The 18933-nt window shown below is 34.5% G+C and overlaps 1 protein-coding gene across 20 annotated transcripts in view; it reads left to right on the top strand.

The window, feature by feature from the left end:
• OSBPL8 (oxysterol binding protein like 8) overlaps positions 1 to 18933 on the top strand; it is a 207975-nt gene that overhangs the window by 173723 nt on the left and 15319 nt on the right. For all 20 annotated transcript variants that reach the window (NM_001003712.2, NM_001319653.2, NM_020841.5 and 17 more), the window contains 7 exons: positions 1699 to 1795; positions 7499 to 7597; positions 10679 to 10776; positions 12616 to 12705; positions 14465 to 14601; positions 16227 to 16412; positions 16748 to 16835. In NM_001003712.2, the coding sequence (NP_001003712.1) occupies positions 1699 to 1795; positions 7499 to 7597; positions 10679 to 10776; positions 12616 to 12705; positions 14465 to 14601; positions 16227 to 16412; positions 16748 to 16835 (795 nt within the window). The remainder of the gene's footprint in view (positions 1 to 1698; positions 1796 to 7498; positions 7598 to 10678; positions 10777 to 12615; positions 12706 to 14464; positions 14602 to 16226; positions 16413 to 16747; positions 16836 to 18933) is intronic.

Below are 18933 nucleotides of genomic sequence, written 5' to 3'. Positions count from 1 at the left end.
TAAACATTTAACCTTTTAATATTAAATACTACTAAAGTACTACTAAATATATTCATAGGTACTATTATTACAGTCATGGAATCCTTTGACCAAAAATAAATCTTTATTTTTCCTTTGCTATGCCCCCTGCCCTTTTTTTAATTTTTTTTTTTGGCTGAGCTCATATTTCCTAAACAACTTTTGATCATGCTCAAAATTATTCAGTGGTGTGGCATTCATTTGTCTGGCATTCAAAGTCCTTTATATCTTTTCCAAATTTATCTCAAATTAATACCTTTCTAGTTCTCCACAGTAGTCAAACCTGTGCAGTTCATGACTAGGTAACCTGATCTAGCACTTTCTTTCCTCATTTTTAAATTTAATTCTCACACTCCAGTATTTCTTCTTAGCTATTCTTTATCTAAACAAACCCTGACCCGCTTATTCTTCATGATGCACATGACTGCAGCTCCCAGTGATTTTTCCCTTCTCAAACTTCTGTATTGTTTTTTGTGATTATCCATTAAGCTCTTATTTTAACATTTGTATCGTTTACCTTTTTACAGAATATTTATTTTCCTAATTGAATTGTTAGCTTCTTTAATTCCCTCTTCTCCCCTATGATACCTCTCTTTTTGTTGTATACAGACAGAAAATATTTTAATTTTTAAACTTTCATTAATTTGAACTCATATACATCCATAATCATGATTTTCAGTCTTCTGTCTGCATAAACTTGAGGAATACGACATTCTCTTTCAATAACAGTGGCTCCTTATTATGGTAATTCTCACTTTGAGTGTAAGGAGAATGAAAAGACCATGTGTTCTTTGAAAAACCTTCTTCTCCTAGAGGTTTTGATAACCCCCTCAAGTCAAAACCACTTATCTATATTAATTTTTTAAAACTCAATGATTTAATTCTTCATGAAATTAAGAAGCTTGAAATGCTGATTTTAGTTTGTCTCATGTAAGAGAACATTAGAAGTAAATATATTGTTGAAGGCATTAGATTATTAAATAACATGTTTTTTGTTTTTGTTTCCTATAGTCATTCAGTAATCCATATGAAGACTAATCACTGTATTAGTTATCCATTGCTGTCTAAAAAATTAGTGCCAAAACTGAGTTAAAGCAGTATTTATTATCTTATATGATGAGGTACAGGAATCTGAGAGCTGCTTAGTTGGGTGGTTCCTGCTCAGGATTTCTAATGAGCTTGCAGTCAAACTGTCAGCCAGCTTTGCAGTCATCTACAGGCTTGACTGGGCTGGAAGATTCACGTCCAGGTTCATCACCTGGCTGTTGACAGAAGAGCTCAGTTCCTCACCACGTAGCCCTCTCTGTAGGGTTTTTCACAATCTCAAAGCTGGCTTTTCAGAACTAATGATTGAGAGATAGGCAGAGAGACAGCCCCCAGCATGGAAGGTGCTTTGTAACCTAATCTCAGAAATTACATAGTGTCACTTCCACACAAACCAACTTCAGTACAATATAAGAGGGGCCTATGTGACTACCAGGAGGGTGGGTCTCATTAGGAGACAGGAGGCTGGTTACTATAACCATCAATATTTAATTTTTACTACTTATTAAATGTTTTTTCTTACTCATTATAAGACTTGAACTTTTGATAATGGCACAATAATATGCTTATCTTTTTATATTTTATATAAACATGTTTTTATATTTTATATATGCATGTTTTTCTTATGTTTAATAGGTGTCCCATCATCCACCAATATCTGCCTTTTATGTTAGTAATCGAAAAGATGGATTTTGCCTTAGCGGTAGTATCCTGGCTAAGTCTAAGTTTTATGGTGAGTTTTCCCGTCCCAACTTGCACCCTCTCCTGGGAGGTATTATTTTCTGGTGAGCTTTTATTTAGGCAGTGTCATGGGCTATTTTCAACAAGGAGTTTGTCATTTTAAGTATCATCTTTCCTTGAATAATGGCTTTTTTCTGCCCACTCATAAATAAAGGTGTGGCTTATGTATTCATCACATATATGTGAATATATCACAAACATTTCTTATGAAAAGACAGAATGATTGCCCATTATAGCCCTTTAGTGCATAAAGTGTTTCTTTTGCCTTTAGTCTGGCCAGTTTTTTGTGTTTCATTTCAGTGTATCTAAGGGATTAGTCTTTCTATTTTAGTCTTTGAACAGAGAGGAAGAATCCAAGTATGGTTACGATACCTGGCCCAGGGTCAGTCAGTAAATATATTTAACTTTGGACTAAATAACATACCAAAAAAACTGTTTGCAAGTACAAGGGAAAATAGAGAAATGGTTATAGTAGGAAACATTAATATAAAAACTTTGATAGTTCAAACAAATCATTGCCAAAGCTATATACCAGTAAAACATATCTAACCTTAAAATGCTTTTATATAGTTTTAAAAAATATTTAAATGAAGAAGAACAATTAAATTTCAACCAAAGAATTTTAAACCTGAGTGAAAAAAATCATTATGATAAAAAAGGAAAAATAAAGTATGTAAACAGAAATCCAAGGTCTGGTTACCTGAGCGTGTGGTGAGCCATAGTTCAGTCTGCAACAGGGATATCTAAGAGTAGTTTTTGATCAGGAACGTGGTGTGTATTGTTATATTTCTTCAAGGTGTCTTTTATTTCCCTTGATGTTCGTTTTGGTTTGGTTTTGGGTTTTTTTTTTTTTAACCTTGTTTTGTTTAAGATGGTGATTGCTTGTTTTTTTCCCCTTAAGTTTATCTATATTTCATATTTGATATATTTCTTACCTACTTCACCTTTCATCCCTCCATTCTTCTACCCTGACTATAGTATAAATGGCTTTTCTGAGTGTGTGTTCTACCCTTATAGAAATTTTTATTGAGTACGAGGTGCATAGCTCACTTTCTGGGATTACTTCATCAGTGGGCCTTTTTTCTGTGTTATAGTACAATTTATATACATCAGAGCTATCTGTTCCTTTATAATTTGAAAGAATCTATTAAATCCAGAATGAATTTAAGATCGTCAGAATTGGTAAACATATGGGTAAATTCAAAAGACATTTTTTCTTATTTTTTCCTTTTAATACATGTAACCATTCAAAACAGAAATGTCAGCATTATCTTGTGAGTTTTATAACATATGCAGATTTAACACATGTAACTACAGTACACAGCCCTGGAAGAGAATGGACCTAGAGATAGCAAAATTTTCTATTCTATATAAAGTGGTCAAAGATTAACTGTGAGTGCAATGGCACAATCTCGGCTCACTGCAACCTCTGCCTCCCGGGTTCAAGCTATTCTCCTGCCTCAGCCTCCCAAGTACCTGGGATTACAGGCACCCACCACCACACCCAGCTGATTTTTGTATTTTTAGTAGAGATGGGGTTTCACCATGTTGGTCAGGCTGGTCTCGAACTCCTGACCTCAAGTGATCCACCCGCCTCAGCCTCCCAAAGTGCTGGGGTTACAGGCGTGAGCCACTGCACCCAGCCGACTGTGACATTTTAAAGATTAATATTGTAATCCCTAAAGCAGTGGTTCTCCTCAGGAGACATTTGGCAATGTCTGAAGACATTTTGGGTTCTCACAGTTGGGAGATCCAGTAGGTAGATGCCAGGAATGCTGCTAAACATCCTGCAATGCACAGAACAACCCCTTACAACAAATAATTATCCAGTCCCCTAAATGTCAGTAGTGCTACCATTGAGAAGCCCTACACTAGAGCAAACACACACACACACAAAGAAAAATCGCCACCAAAAAGTATAGGTAAAAAATCAGTAAGAAAATTAAAATGAAATTCTTTAAAAAATTTAAACAATAATTTAAATAATGTATAAAAGAAACAGGAAAGCCCAATCAAGGAACAAAAATCAGAGGGGACAGATAGAAAACACATAGCAAAATGATAGACTAAAACCCAATAATATGATTGTATCAGTCTTAATGGCCCAAATAATCTCATTTAAAGACAGTGATTATCAGATTAGCTAAAACAGCAAGGACCAACATACCTTAAATGTAGACACACAAATAGGCTGAAAGTAAATGGAAAGTAGGCCGCGCATGGTGGCTCAGGCATGTAATCCCAGCACTTTGGGAGACCAAGGTGGGTGGATCACCTGAGGTCAGGAGTTCAATACTAGCCAGGCCAAAATGGTGAAACCCTGTCTCTACTAAAAATACAAAAATTAGCTGGGCATGGTGGTGTACACCTGTAATCCCAGCTACTTGGAGTGCTAAGGCAGGAGAATCACTTGAACCCGGGAGGCAGAGGTTGCAATGAGCTGAGATCATGCCACTGCACTCCAGCCTGGGCAACAAGAGCAAGACTCTGTCTCAAGAAAGGAAAAAAAAAAAAAGAAAGTAAATGGAAAGTAAAAGTTAAAAGCTAAACTATGCAAGTATTAAGTACAAGTAGGGTTAAGTGAGTATATTAATAAAATAGATTTCAAAACAAAAAGTGTTAATAGAGATAAAGAACATTTCATAATGAAATAAAAAGGTTCAGTACGTCAGGATAACATAATAATCATAAATGCCTGTGTATCTAATCACAGAACTTCAATGAAGCAAAAATAGACAGAATTAAAAGAGATAGAAATTTGAAATGGACAAATTTCTTAAGAGACACAAATTACCACAGCTGACCCAAGAAGTGGTGTAAAATTGTAATAGCTTTATATCAGATAAATTGATTTAGTAATGTAAAATATTTCTTCAAGGATATACTCCAGGCCCAGATGTCTTGAGTTCTTCTAAAGATTTAAGGCAGAAATAACAGTTCTACACAATTTTTGGCATAAAATAGAAGAAGAAAAAACACTCCTCAGATCATTTTATGAGGCCAGGATTATCCTGATTCCCCAAACCAGAGATTACAAGAAAATAAACTACAGATCTAATATCCTTATACATGTAAAAATTCTTAAGTAGTAACAAATCAACAGATAGGGAGAATAATATATGGACATATAAATAAAGGTATCATGATCAGTATATTAAAAGAATAATATGATGAAATGGATTTTATCTCAGGAATACAAGGTTGGTTTACCATCTGATAAACAATGTAATTTACCATATTAATAGAATAACAGAGAAGAAAAGTGTGATTTCGATAGATATGGAAAAATGATTTGACAGAATTCAACACCTATTTATTTCTTAGTCCTCAAGGAACTAGGACTAGATTAAAGGCATCTATGAAAAATATATAGCCAACTTCATACTTTTAAGGTGAAAATTGAATAATTTCTACCTAAGATCAAGAACAAGGCAAGGATGTTTACTCTCATTACTTCTATACAAAATTGTATTAGAGGTCCTAGCCAATGCAGTAGGCAAATTAAAGGGAAAAATAGCATACAGATTGAAAGGAAGAAGATAAGCTATTTATATACCAGATTACATAGAAAATCTTCAAGAATATACAAAAAAAGCTCATACAACTAATAAGTGAATTTAGTAAGGTCTCAAGATGCATGGTCAAAAAAGAAAAATCAGTTGTATTTCTATATACTAGAAATGAATACTTGCAGAGGGTTTTTTTTTTTTTTTTTTTGGGACAGTGTCTCACTATGTTGCTGGTCTCAAACTCCTGAGCTCAAGGGATCCTCTCACCTCAGCCTCCTGAGTAGCTGGGATTACAGGCACACATCACCATGCCTGGCTCAGAATGAAATTTAAAAACAACTCCAATTATAATAGCATCCAAATAATGTATTTAAAAATAAATTTAATAAAAGATGTGTAAGTCGTGTATACTGAAGACTAAAACATTGCTGAGGAAAATTAAAGAAGATCCAAATAAATGGATAGATAGACTATGTTTATATATTGAGATATTTAATAGTGTTAAGATAATAGAGCTCCCTTAATTGAGCCATAGACTCAGTGCAATCCTAATCATAATCTAAGCAGGCTTTTTTGAAGATATTGGCAAGTTGGCTCTCAAATTACGTTGAAAAGTCAAGGACCCAAAACAGCCAAACAATTTTGAAAAAGAACAAGAAAGGTCTTTCACTGCCTGATTTTAGAATAAAGCTAAGGTAATCATTACAGTGTGGAATTGACGTAATGGTAGATGTATAAATTAATGGGATGCAATAGAGTTCAGATGTAGACCTGTACACATGGTCAAATGTTTTTTGACATGGGAGAAATGATTGTCCATAGTTAAACATACATTTACCATGAACTCAGAAATTCCACTCCTAGGTATTTGCCCATGAAAAATGAAAATAGATGTCTACATAAAGACTTGTACGTAAATGTTCTTAAGTATACACAACATTATTCATAACAATCCAGGACTAAACACAACTTAAGGACCATCAACTAGTAAGGAAATAATCACAACTACAGAATGCTAACTAGCAATAAAAAGGAATAGAATTCTTATACAACAATGTGGATGAACCTGAAAGACATTGTGCTAATTGAAGGAAGTAAAACACAGCAAGCTACATATTCTATAATGCCATCTGTACAGAATTCTAGAATAGGTAAAGCCAGTGATTTAAAATGCACCATTGGTGTCCTGGGGCTAAGGGAAAGGATTGACTGCTCAGGGGCAAGGAGGAACTTTTTGGGGATAATGGGAAGTTCTATATCTTGATTGTGGTGGTGGTTATATGACTCTGCAATTTCCAAAACTCAAATTTCACACTTAAAATGGGTTAGTTACTGTATGTAAATTTATACTTCAGTAAAGCTGAGAATAGAAGGAGAGAAAATGCATACAGGAGAAAACTTAGAAGAAATTACCATAGTATTTTATCGTTGACTGCATTTTGGTGCTTTATATATATTTTTTATTTTTCTAAATTGTCTATAGGATTAATTATAAGCATTTAAAGCTTGAGATTTGTAAGTAATGTGACTTACAGCTAAAAAATAATGGTTTTATTCAAAAAAGAAAATTAGGCTATACAGTGAAACAGTGTTTTATTAAGATTAAGTATTCTACATGTTTTCTCATTTTCTTGTAACTCTCATAAAACAGGCCGGGTGCAGTGGCTCATGCCTGTAATCCCAGCACTTTGGGAGGCCGAGGTGGGCAGATCACCCAAGGTGGGCAGATCACCCAAGGTCAGGAGTTAAAATCAGCTTGGCCAACATGGGGAAACCCTGTCTCTACTACAAATATAAAAATTAGCTGGGTATGGTGGTGCACGCCTGTAATCCCAGCCACTCAGGAGGCTGAGACAGGAGAATTGCTGAACCCTGGAGGTGGAGATTACAGTGAGTCGAGATCACTCCACTGCACTCCAGCCTGGGCAACAGAGTGACAGAGACTCCATCTCAAAAAAAAAAGCACATAACTGTATCTTTTAAAAGTAGTCATTATGTAAAAATGAGAATATGGATGAAATATGTTTTGGATATAAGGTAATGAATACATGTTTGGGCACATTGAGATTGAGACATTTTTAAGACTTTCTACTGTAGATGTCTGGTAGGTGTTCTAAATATATTTTGTTTGTTTTGAATTGGTTGAATAAGTTTTGTGAAATTTAATAAACAACATTTTATTTCAGGAAACTCATTATCTGCAATATTAGAGGGAGAAGCACGGTTAACTTTCTTGAATAGAGGTGAAGATTATGTAATGACAATGCCATACGCTCATTGTAAAGGTAAATATTTTCTATACTTGAATTAGATATTAAGCTTTCCTTTTAAGTAAATGTATGTAGCTGTGATTTGTTATGCTTTGTGATTGATGGAGTCAGACTTACATTTTGTTTGAAAGCATCCTTGGATTACAGATATTTAAGATTATTGCTATCATTTGCTGAATATTTCTGCGGTGAATTAATTCACCTGTAATGGACTCTTTGTGATGTGTACTTTAGTCAGAAGAGACTGATTTATCATAATGGAATTTCTTTGCACTTGCCTGATGTGCAAATTTTCAAATTTGACAAAACCGTCTATTATTTCAGAATCTGTAAAGATGATTTTCATCTTTTTGCACCACCATGCTTTTTTAAAATTTTAATTTACTATTTTTTAATGTACCAAGTTTTTTAAAGATTTTTCTCACCCTCATTTGGCAATTTCTTAATGTATTATGCTTTTTGCCCCATTATTTAAAATACAGATAAGGGTATTACATAATAATTGTCATCTATAACATTACAACATGCTAGGCACCCAACTGTTCAATGCATTTATTTAATCATTTCAGCAGCTCCTATAAAATAGAAATATTATTATTCCCTTTTTTAGAAGAGGAAAAATGAAGCACAGAGAGGTTAATATGCCTGAGATCATACAGCTAAAATGTGGCAAGTCAGGATCTGAACCCAGGTGGTTTACCTCTGCACTCTGAACTTTCAACTATTTTGCATCAGTTTAGTGTGGTCATGATGTGTATCCTCCCTTCCAACCGGTTTCTTAAAATCTTAAAAATACCTTTTTTGGTAATTATCCTCTATTTTGGGAACTGATTCATGAAAACATATAAATTATTCAATATGAAAAGTGGGCAAAGGATACGAACAGACACTTTTCAAAAGAAGACATTTATGTGACCAACATGAAAAAAAGCTCATTATCACTGATCATTAGAGAAATGCAAATCAAACCACAATGAGATAGCATCTCATGCCAGTTAGAATGGTGATCATTAAAAAGTCAGGAAATAACAGATGCTGGAGAGGATGTGCAGAAATAGGAACAATTTTACACTGTTGGTGGGAGTGTAAATTAGTTCAGCTATTGTGGAAGACGGTGTGGCTATCCCTCAAGGATCTAGAACTAGAAATACCATTTGACCCAGCAATCACATTACTGGGTATATACCCAAAGGGTTATACATTATTCTGCTATAAAGACACATGTACACGTATGTTTATTGCAGCACTATTCACAATAGCAAAGACTTGGGACCAACCCAAATGCCCATCAGTGATAAACTGGATAAAGAAAATGTGGCACATACACACCATGGAACACTATGCAGCCATAAAAAAGGATGAGTTTATGTCCTTTGCAGGGACATGGATGAAGCTGGAAACCATCATTCTCAGCAAACTAACACAGAAACAGAAAACCAAACACCACATGATCTCACTCATAAGTGGGAGTTGAACAATGAGAACACATGGGCACAGGGAGGGGAACATCATACACTGAGACCTATTGGGAGGTGGGGGGCAAGGGGAGGGATAGCATTAGGAGAAATACCTAATGTAGATGATGGGTTGATAGGTGCAGCAAACCACCATGGCACGTGTATACCTATATAACAAAGCTTCACGTTCTGCACATGTATCCCAGAACACACAGTTGAGAAATCTCGGAGGGCTGAATCTTATCGAAGGCCAACCCAGCATGTACAAAAGAGCCTAACTTATGGCCTTAGTCTAGATTATTCTTAGAGCTTCAAGTATAGTTCTTGAAGTAAGCATGGAGTGAAATATCTTTAATTATGAATTGATAAGAACACATATTTTTAAATTTTCTATCATTTAGAAAAAATAAAACTATATTCCATGTAGATATCCATGCGCTACTTAGCTTACAATAGGGAAAATTTTTTATAGCAATGCATGGAAAAAGAAAAGAAGTTATAACCACTTGCGAATGAGCATATGAAATGATTTTTATAAGATGTTTCACCCTGTATGTTTTCTAAGGTGTGTTCCCCCAAGTCACTAGTCTCACAAATTGTTTTGTAAAATAAGAGTTCCATAGCCAAATAAATTTGAGAAACATTGCATAGTCTGTTCCCCTCTCAAAAGATAATATTGTACATTGCATGTTAAAGGCTGCCTTAGCATCTTAGACCAACAGCAGATACACACACAACCTGTTTAGCTTTGTTAAACCCAGAGTTTCCCCAGCTTTTAACCACAGAACTTATTTTGTAGTTTTTTGTTTGCTTTGCTTATGCATTTGATTCTTGTTATTTGCAGTAGTTATGTTACATAAAGTCACCACTGAGTTAGCAAATACTGAGCCATTGCTCCTGGGGGAGTATGAGATTGGATTCCTGTGAGCCTCTTGTGCCAACATTTTCATCAGCCAGTTAATCAGTACATAACCTTGTTTTATATATGCTTCTATTTAAAGAAACCTGATGTAATTATAACATTAATTACATATTATTGATTCATTAACATTGAACTAACAGCCAACAGAACTAAAGCCTAAACGTAGCTTTTAACACACATTTTCCCTGTAAAATACAGTATAGCTTTCTTGCACTTAGGAACACTAGACAGCACTGCAACACTACATGTGGGTCCATTTTAAACAGCAAAACCACCAGTGAAAAGCACAAAATGTGAAAACATGATACTAAATACACTGCAAAAAGGACACTTTTTTTTTTTTTTTAAAACAATGTGGGAGCTGAACCAAGAGTGTTTGCCTTGCTCAGCCTCAGCTCAGAATGTGTGCATTGGGTGACTCAAATTTTTCGCTACTCTGCACATGTCTCCAAATGACTACAGAAGTACTGTGGGTATTGATATTTTACTGAGTAGGTGAATTTACAGATAGGGAATCTGCACATAATGTGAATCAGGTGTTATCTATTTATATCCTACAGAACCAACTGTATGTCTATATTATAGTTTTTCATTTGAGTGGGACAGAGTGATTTTGAATTATGTTTCTCCTAAAAGATTAGATTACTAAACTGTTTATCGTGAGCCATATACTATACTATACTCTTTTCAATTTTTTGTCAAATCTTTTTCCTTTAGGAATTCTTTATGGTACAATGACACTGGAGCTTGGTGGAACAGTCAATATTACATGTCAAAAAACTGGATACAGTGCAATACTTGAATTTAAACTAAAGGTTAGTAGACAATACAGTAGGTATCACCTAGCTAAAGGAGAGCCATACAATAAATATTGAATAAAGGGCACCATGTATTTCCTAATTAAGGACTAAATGTAAGAACACAATTTATGTCATGTCAAGGATAAGTGCATCTAAGGAATAAGGGCAAGGCTGGGTGAGTATCTTCGGGTAGCCTAAGATAGCAGCCTTGGAAAATTCAAATTAACACAAAAGACATTTTTTGTTTTTCATCTTAATTAATAAAACTGTGGGTATTATATAGAAGATGAGATTTAAGAAGTGATTGGATAGAAATTTCTTAGTAAATTAAAGGATTGTTTTTACCAAATACCAGAAGATATGTGTCATCTTGCAGTCTAGCTGTGTAAACCAAGGCACAGTTGTATTAGTCACTATTTCTGTGTAATAAGTTACTCTAAAACTCACAGACTTAATAACTATGTGCTGTTCCTCATGAGTTCTGTGAGTCAAAAATTTGGACAGGGTATACTGGGGATAGCTTATCTCTGCTTCATAATGTCTGGGGTCTCAGAAAGACTTTGTAGGCCATGGGTGACTCAATAGTTAGGGACTGTAATCACCTGAAGGCTTATCACTTACATATCTGATACCTGGTCTAGGGTGACCGAAGGACTAGAACTGCTAATCTGAGCACCTGTATACATGGCCTTTCCATGTGACTTGATTTCCTGACAGCATGACAGCCTCAAAGTAGACTTCTTACTTGGCAGTTGAGGGTTTCAAAGTGCAAGTGCCCCAGTGAGCAAGACAGAAACTGCATTTCCTTTCCATGACCTAGCCTGAGAAGCCAAATTATATCACTTCCACCATCTTCTATTATTTGGAGAATTGTAAGACCACCCAAATTCAAGGAGAAGAAATATAGACCCCACTTCTCATTGGGAGAGTGGCAAGGTCTCCTTGAGGAAGAGTATGTGGGCTGAAGGGGAGAGGGTACGTATTGTCAAGGCCATCTTTGGAAATTTTTGTCTGCCTCAAAATGAAAGGGAAATTTGAGAACTTAATGTGAATTAATTGTTCTTGAACAATAGTATATTCAGATAAAAATATTTCTGTAAACTAGTAATATTTATTACTAAATTGCTGCTATGTTGATATCCAGCTGATAAGCAATTTTGCTCTGATAAAAAAGACCTCTTAAGTATTATTTGATGCAATGTCTTTTATTTTATTTTTCTTTCACCTTGGCAAAATTTTCCTTGTATGGTGATGATAATGTTTGAAGATCATGATGAATGAGTTCTTAAGTATATATGATGCCTTTAAGTATGACATTGGAGCATCAAAATTTTGTCTCTAAGGAGAGATGTTAGTAAGGCATTATAGTAACTCAGTGTATTCCTTCTAATTTTATTTTTTGGAGGCTTTTTTTGGCTATATATTTTACTTTTGTTTGTTTGTTTTTTAAGGAAGGGGTGTTATTTATTTCAATGGATCGTTAATTCCATTAGGTTTATTGAGTTGTTATTGCTTAAGATAACGTCACATTGATAGGGCACAGTCTTGACAGGGGAGGACACAGGATTTGAGCATACATGGAACATGAGTCAGTTATATCAGGGTGATCTTTCTTAATATGTTTATTTTGATTTAATATAGTCTGCTTGTTTTATCCTATTTTTTTCATAGCAGCAATTCAGATTTCTTATTAAACATTTCTAACTAAAATTTGAGTCAGTATTTTTTTACTGCTTGTGCATTCAATAGTACTGTAACTATACAAGCAATTTTTGTTGGGTTTTTTGTTTTGGTTTTACATTATATGTAAATATAAGTGAAAAGTAAAATGTTTAACATTTTCTCGTTTAAAAGCCATTCCTAGGGAGTAGTGACTGTGTTAATCAAATATCAGGGAAACTTAAACTGGGAAAAGAAGTCCTAGCTACTTTGGAAGGTCATTGGGTAAGTATTTTGTATATGAGCTTTACAAAAAGAATTTTATTCTGTGGGAAAAAAAAAATCACATTTAAAATTTAAAACTTATTCCGTTGCTGAAAACATCACTATTTAACATAAGCTTCATCTTAATAGCAGATATTTTGGTGGTGTTCTGTTATCAACAGTAGTTAATTTTGTGTAATATTTTATTTCCAAAACTTAAAATCAGTAGAAATAGCTAACACTTATATATGACTTACTGCATTATTTAAGAATGTTACTCATATTAACTGATTTAATATTTATAACATATAACGCTATGAGGTGAGTATATAGGTGCCATGCCCATTTTATTATTGTTTATTATTGTCCCCATTTTACAGAAGAGGACACTGAGGCACAGAGAGTTCACATAATTTGCTCAAAGTAGGTAGTGGAACAAGAATTAAAGCCCAGGAACCCTGGCCCCAGGACTGTGCTTTTATGCACAGCACTCTACTCACATAGAAGAAAGAGGCATAGTTCCAATTAGAGTTATATTCCTTTCAGTGGAACATGGAAAGGATATAGTGGTGTGTGAGAGCAATGGCTTTTATTTACTTCTCTGCTAACCTAAATTCATATTTATGTAATTTTGTTAAGAGACGCTTAAATGAATAAAAAGAATCATGGTACTGCATGGATATACCATACTATGAGCACTGAGTATATGCTCCTTTCTGCATGCAGTAAGCAGAAAATGTTGAGAAATATGAGAAAGTGAAGTTAGGGACTTTGTTAAGTGGCCACATACACTCTGAAAATTTTTTTTAATTGCCTTAAATCTGAGAGTCTTCTGGAAAAAAGATAAAGCAGCAGTCATTTTTAAAAAATGAAATTTCTGTCTGGGTGGGGTGGCTCACACCTATAATTCCAGCACTTTGGGAAGCTCAGGAGTTTGAGATCAGCCTGGGTGACATAACAAGACCTCTTCTCTACTAAACATAAAAATAAAAAAATTAGATGGGCATGATGGCACATGCCTGTCCCAGCTACTCAGGAAGCTAAGGCAGGAAGATTGCTTGAGCCTGGGAGGTGGAAGCTGCAGTGAGCCATGATTGTGCTACTGCCCTCCAGCCTGGGTGAGAAAGCAAGACCCTGTCTCAGACAGATAGATAAGATAGAGATGAGAGTGAGAGATGACAGAGAGAGAGAGAAGGAGAAGGATGGTTAAACAGGTAGATAAATTAGATAGGTAAAATAGATTAGATAGATAAGGTAGATAGCACCGCTGCACTCCAGCCTACACAAGAGAGCAAGACCGTCCATGTCTTAGATAGAAAGATTATTCGATAGAGATAGACCTCAAATTTTTAATGCTAGTAAAGGCTCTTTCAGAGGGATGTGTGTGTGTGTATGTTTGAGTATATTGAATCCATGGATAGTCAACAGCATCTCATTGTAGCTGCAACAAATACTATGCTCTACTTGGACAGTTTGGAGATGGTTATTGAGGCTTTGCATGTAATGTTTGAAATTTATTAAGTAAAACTTATGAAATTTCACAAACTGGATATTCAACCAAATTCTTTTTAATTAACTAGTATTACGTAGTCAATCTTAATGTTTTTATAAAAATGATAAGAAACTTGGAGTTTTTGGAAAAGTGCTAGTTATATTTGTTTTAAAAATGCTTTTAACTGGAGGATTAACCAGAAGAAATTATCACCGTCATATTACTATACTATATAATTGCCTTCTAAGTATAATTCTTTACATTAATTTTGAATTTTTTTAAATATAGGATAGTGAAGTTTTTATTACTGATAAAAAGACTGATAATTCAGAGGTTTTCTGGAATCCAACACCTGACATTAAGCAATGGAGATTAATAAGGCACACTGTAAAATTTGAAGAACAGGGAGATTTTGAATCAGAGAAGTAAGTATACTGTTTTACAGCTAACTTCATGAGGATCAGAGAGTAGTTTTTCAATTCCTTAATGATATGGTCATTTTGTCACCTTCTGTCATATCTTAATTCAGCAAAATAGTTTATCATTTGTGGAAGTGACAGTATTCTGTTTTTGTGTATATGAATGTCAAATATAATATAAATCGTCTTGCTTTTCTGTAGCTCAAAACTACTCATTTTTTTCTTTCTCAATTGTTCCAGCACCTTAAAAAAAAAGAAAGAAAGAACGTTTTTGTTTAAATAAGATTACAGGACTAATTAATGACTCTTAGTTTCTACCTGGCAACAGTTTTCTAACCTGATTTAAGCATTAGAACTCTAGGTAAAGGGAGTGGTGCAGAATCTACTTCTGTTCCATTCTCTGATACAAAAGTAAAGTTACTGGATGGACTGGCTTCTATAGGATTTATTAGTTGGGTAATAACTAAGGCTATCATTTCTGTTCTTAAGTCATGAACTTCTTGCTAGATGGCTTATATTTTTGAATCAGAAATATTGTATACACATTCCCTATTTTATTGTTGTTATATCTTTGTGTTAAGAGAAAGAGACTTATGTATAAGAGATATTTTGCTAGGCACTTAGTACTTATTATGCAACTTTGTCCTCCCTACATGTTTGCACATACATATCATTCTCTGTCATGGGAATTCAAGTCTGTGTACCTTCCCTTCTACACTCAAATTTGAGGTTGTCAAAGATGGAAGAATGTATATGTACCAGTTCTAAAAATTCTGTCTCAGCCATAACCATTTGATGTTCTTTTTCCAGAGATAAGCTTTGCCAAGGCATACATATGATAATTTGTGAGAGTATATAATTCAGCATATTTGAAGATGAGGAAATGAGACTTAGGATAAATAACTTTAAGTGCACCAGCTAAGAAGTGGCAGCTCTAGGACTTGACTCATGTCTATCTGATCCCAAAGCCTTTTCTGGTTTTAACATGCTGCCTTTCTAGATGGGTAGGATATAGATATACTTTTATTTAACAGAAGAAAGAACTAGTAGGGGAAATCATTTTACCTCAGTAGTCTTTTCTGTTAAACCAGTGGTTCTCAACACTAGCAATACATTAAAATATTTTGGGGAAACATTTAAAAAATATATCAATACTTGCGCCTGACCCCAGAGATTCTGATTATAAAAATTCTCTGATAATTCATGGATCCAAACTTCAGAAGCACTGCATTACATTAATGGATCTTTATGAAGCCAGTGAATCTTAAACAGTGTAAGACGCATCTAGGAAGCTTGCTAAAAGCGTAGATTCCTGAGCTTTACCTTCATTACATCCTATCATCTTGAGCCAGCAACACTTCAACACTTACTATCATGAGTTTAAGAGTCTATGTAGTAAGTTTCTCTTGCCAAGTAAAAAAAATTAGTCTCCACTTATGAACAGGTCTCTCTCTACTCAAGGGACTGGATTTATATCTTGACTCATTTCTAAGCCTATGAGCATAAGTGTTGTCAAAGCCAGAAATTCATGTGAGCATTATTTTCTCTACAAGGGATTTGAGGCCTATTCTATATAGATTTTATTTTCTGTTACATTTTTAATACTTTTAATATTTTCGCACATGTATTAGACTCTGGCAACGGGTAACTCGAGCCATAAATGCCAAAGACCAAACTGAAGCTACCCAAGAGAAGTATGTTTTGGAAGAAGCTCAAAGACAAGCTGCCAGGGATCGGAAAACAAAAAATGAAGAGTGGTCTTGCAAATTATTTGAACTTGATCCACTCACAGGAGAATGGCATTACAAGTTTGCAGAGTAAGTAACTTAAAATAGTTTATTTCAAACAATGTATTAGCATGGTTTGTTGCCTTTATTTCTAGAATATTTGTTGCTGGAGTAGTTTTTATTTAATTAAACCATGTATATTAGTGTGAGATTTTTAAACTTGGTTTTGCATTCATTATAAGCTTGACTCTATGATAGAAGTTAGCCTATAAAATAAGTTGAGGATCTGAAGATTAGGTATGGGGAAATCTCATTATTAGAACTATGTATATAATTATTAATAAAATTGGATCATAGAATAGAAAGTTTTAAAGTTCTTTGTTTAGTCATTGAGCAAATGGTTTTTTTTTTTTTCATTTATGTAGTACCCGACCATGGGACCCACTTAATGATATGATACAGTTTGAAAAAGATGGTGTTATTCAGACCAAAGTGAAACATCGTACTCCAATGGTATGTAATAAAAAACTAGGTACACTAGGTATATAAATCTGTTAAATCTTTAGTATCTATAGCAACCAACTAAAATTTGGTTTCAAAATTTAAAATTTTGGGTGAGCAAAATACGCAGCTCTGAACTCTTCTTACCCCAAAGAAACATCAGAAAACAAGCAAAAACTGTCAACTCAATTTGCCAGAACTCTGGAAAACAGTCAGAGGTGTTCAGCAACCAAGTGAACACTGGTCAAGAAAGTGCAAAGAGAGGAAAGCTTTGTGGCATTTTACCTGCCCTTGCCCCAGGTCCATCCCAGTGCAGTAGCAGTCTTGAAGAGCCCCTGCGTTGCCAGTGTAAGTCCCTAGTTCCAGAAGGAGCAGAGTGGACCTCATACACAATTGTGTATGTCTGTCCTAACCTGTCAGAATACTACCTGAAGGACTTACACAGGCACTCATCTCTGAGAAAATCAATAAAGACAAATTATTCAAGGGAGCCAAACAAATTCTGGAGCTGAAAAGTATAACAAAAATGAAAATTCACTAGAGGTATTCAAAAGCAGATATAAGCAAGCATAAGACAGGATCAGGAAACTTAGAGATAAGACCATAAAAATTATCCAGTCTGAGGAGGAGAAAGAAAAATGAATGAAGTGAGGTGAACAGAGCCTAAAGGACCCATGGGACACCATCAAGTGGGTTATCATTGCATTATGGGAGTTCCACAAAGAGAAGACAGAAAAATGAATGAAGAATATTTAAGGAAAGAAGACCCCCCAATCCCCAAATTTGGTGGAAGATATAAATCTACAAATTCAAGAAGCTCAACAAACTCCAAGTAGGATGATCTCAGAGAGACCCACACCACAACAAACTGTCAAAAGCCAAAGAGAGTCTTAAAATCAGCAGAGAGAAACAACTTATCACATACACTGGGGATCATCCATAGGATTAACAACCGATATCTTATAGAAACCATGGGGGCCAGAAGGCAATGAGATGACATATTTAAAGTGGTAGAAGCAAAAACTTGTCAATCAAGAATTCTGTATCTGGCAAAACTGTCATTCGAAAATGGGGGAGAAATTAAGACATTCCCAGATAAAAGCTGAGGGAGTTCATTACCACTAGACCTGCCCTACAAAAAAATGCTAAGGTAAATATGTAATAAAATGAAACTCAAAGCTGTATGAAGAAATAAAGATTTTTAGTAAATAGTTGGACAAATATAAAAGCTAGTGCTATTGTAATTTTAGTTTGTAAGTCCACTTTTTATTTCCTGCAGGACTTAAAAAATAAATGAATGAAAAATAATTTAATTACATATCTTTGTTATCAGACATACAATGTGTAAAGATATAGTTCATTACAACATAAAAGCAGAGAGGATGGAGCTGTATAGGAGGAAAGTTTTTATGTACTACTGAAGTTAAGTTGGTATCAACTCAAACTAGATTGTTGTAGAGGTAGGTGTAAATGTCATCCCCATAGTAACCACAAATGAAATATCTAAAAAAATACACACAAAAGAAAATGAGAAGGGAATTGAAACAGTTTACACAGGAAGCAAACACAAAAGCAGGCAGTAATGGAGTAAATAAGAAACAAAAAACGTATATGACGTATAGAAAATAGCAAAATCAGAGGTAAGTTCTTATCAGTAGTTATTTTAAAATGTAAATAGATTAAACTCTCCGAGCAAAAGACAGATTGTAAAAATTGATTAAAATAAACATGACCCAACTATTTGCTGTGTACAAGAGATTCACTTTAGATCCATAGGCAGAAATAGAGAAAAATGAAAGTTTGGAAAAAAATATTATGTGCAAATAGTAACCAAAGGAAAAATGAGGTGGCCAATAGTAACCAAAGGAAAACTGAGGTGGTTATACTGTCAGACTAAATAGACTTTAAGTCAAAAATTGTTACAAGAGACAAAAAGAACATGGCGTATTGATAAAAGGGTCAATTCATACACACACACACACACACACACACACACCAATCAACAAAGCCCCAAAATATACAAAGCAAACTGACAGAATTGGAAGATAGAAACAGCTCTATAACAATAGATGAAGAATTCAGTAAACTACTTTTAATAATGGGTAGAACC

Source organism: Homo sapiens, chromosome 12, assembly GCF_000001405.40.
Source record: "Homo sapiens chromosome 12, GRCh38.p14 Primary Assembly".
NCBI lineage: Eukaryota > Metazoa > Chordata > Mammalia > Primates > Hominidae > Homo > Homo sapiens.
The sequence above is the reverse complement of the archived record's forward strand: the minus strand, read 5'-3'. Positions and strand labels throughout refer to the sequence as shown.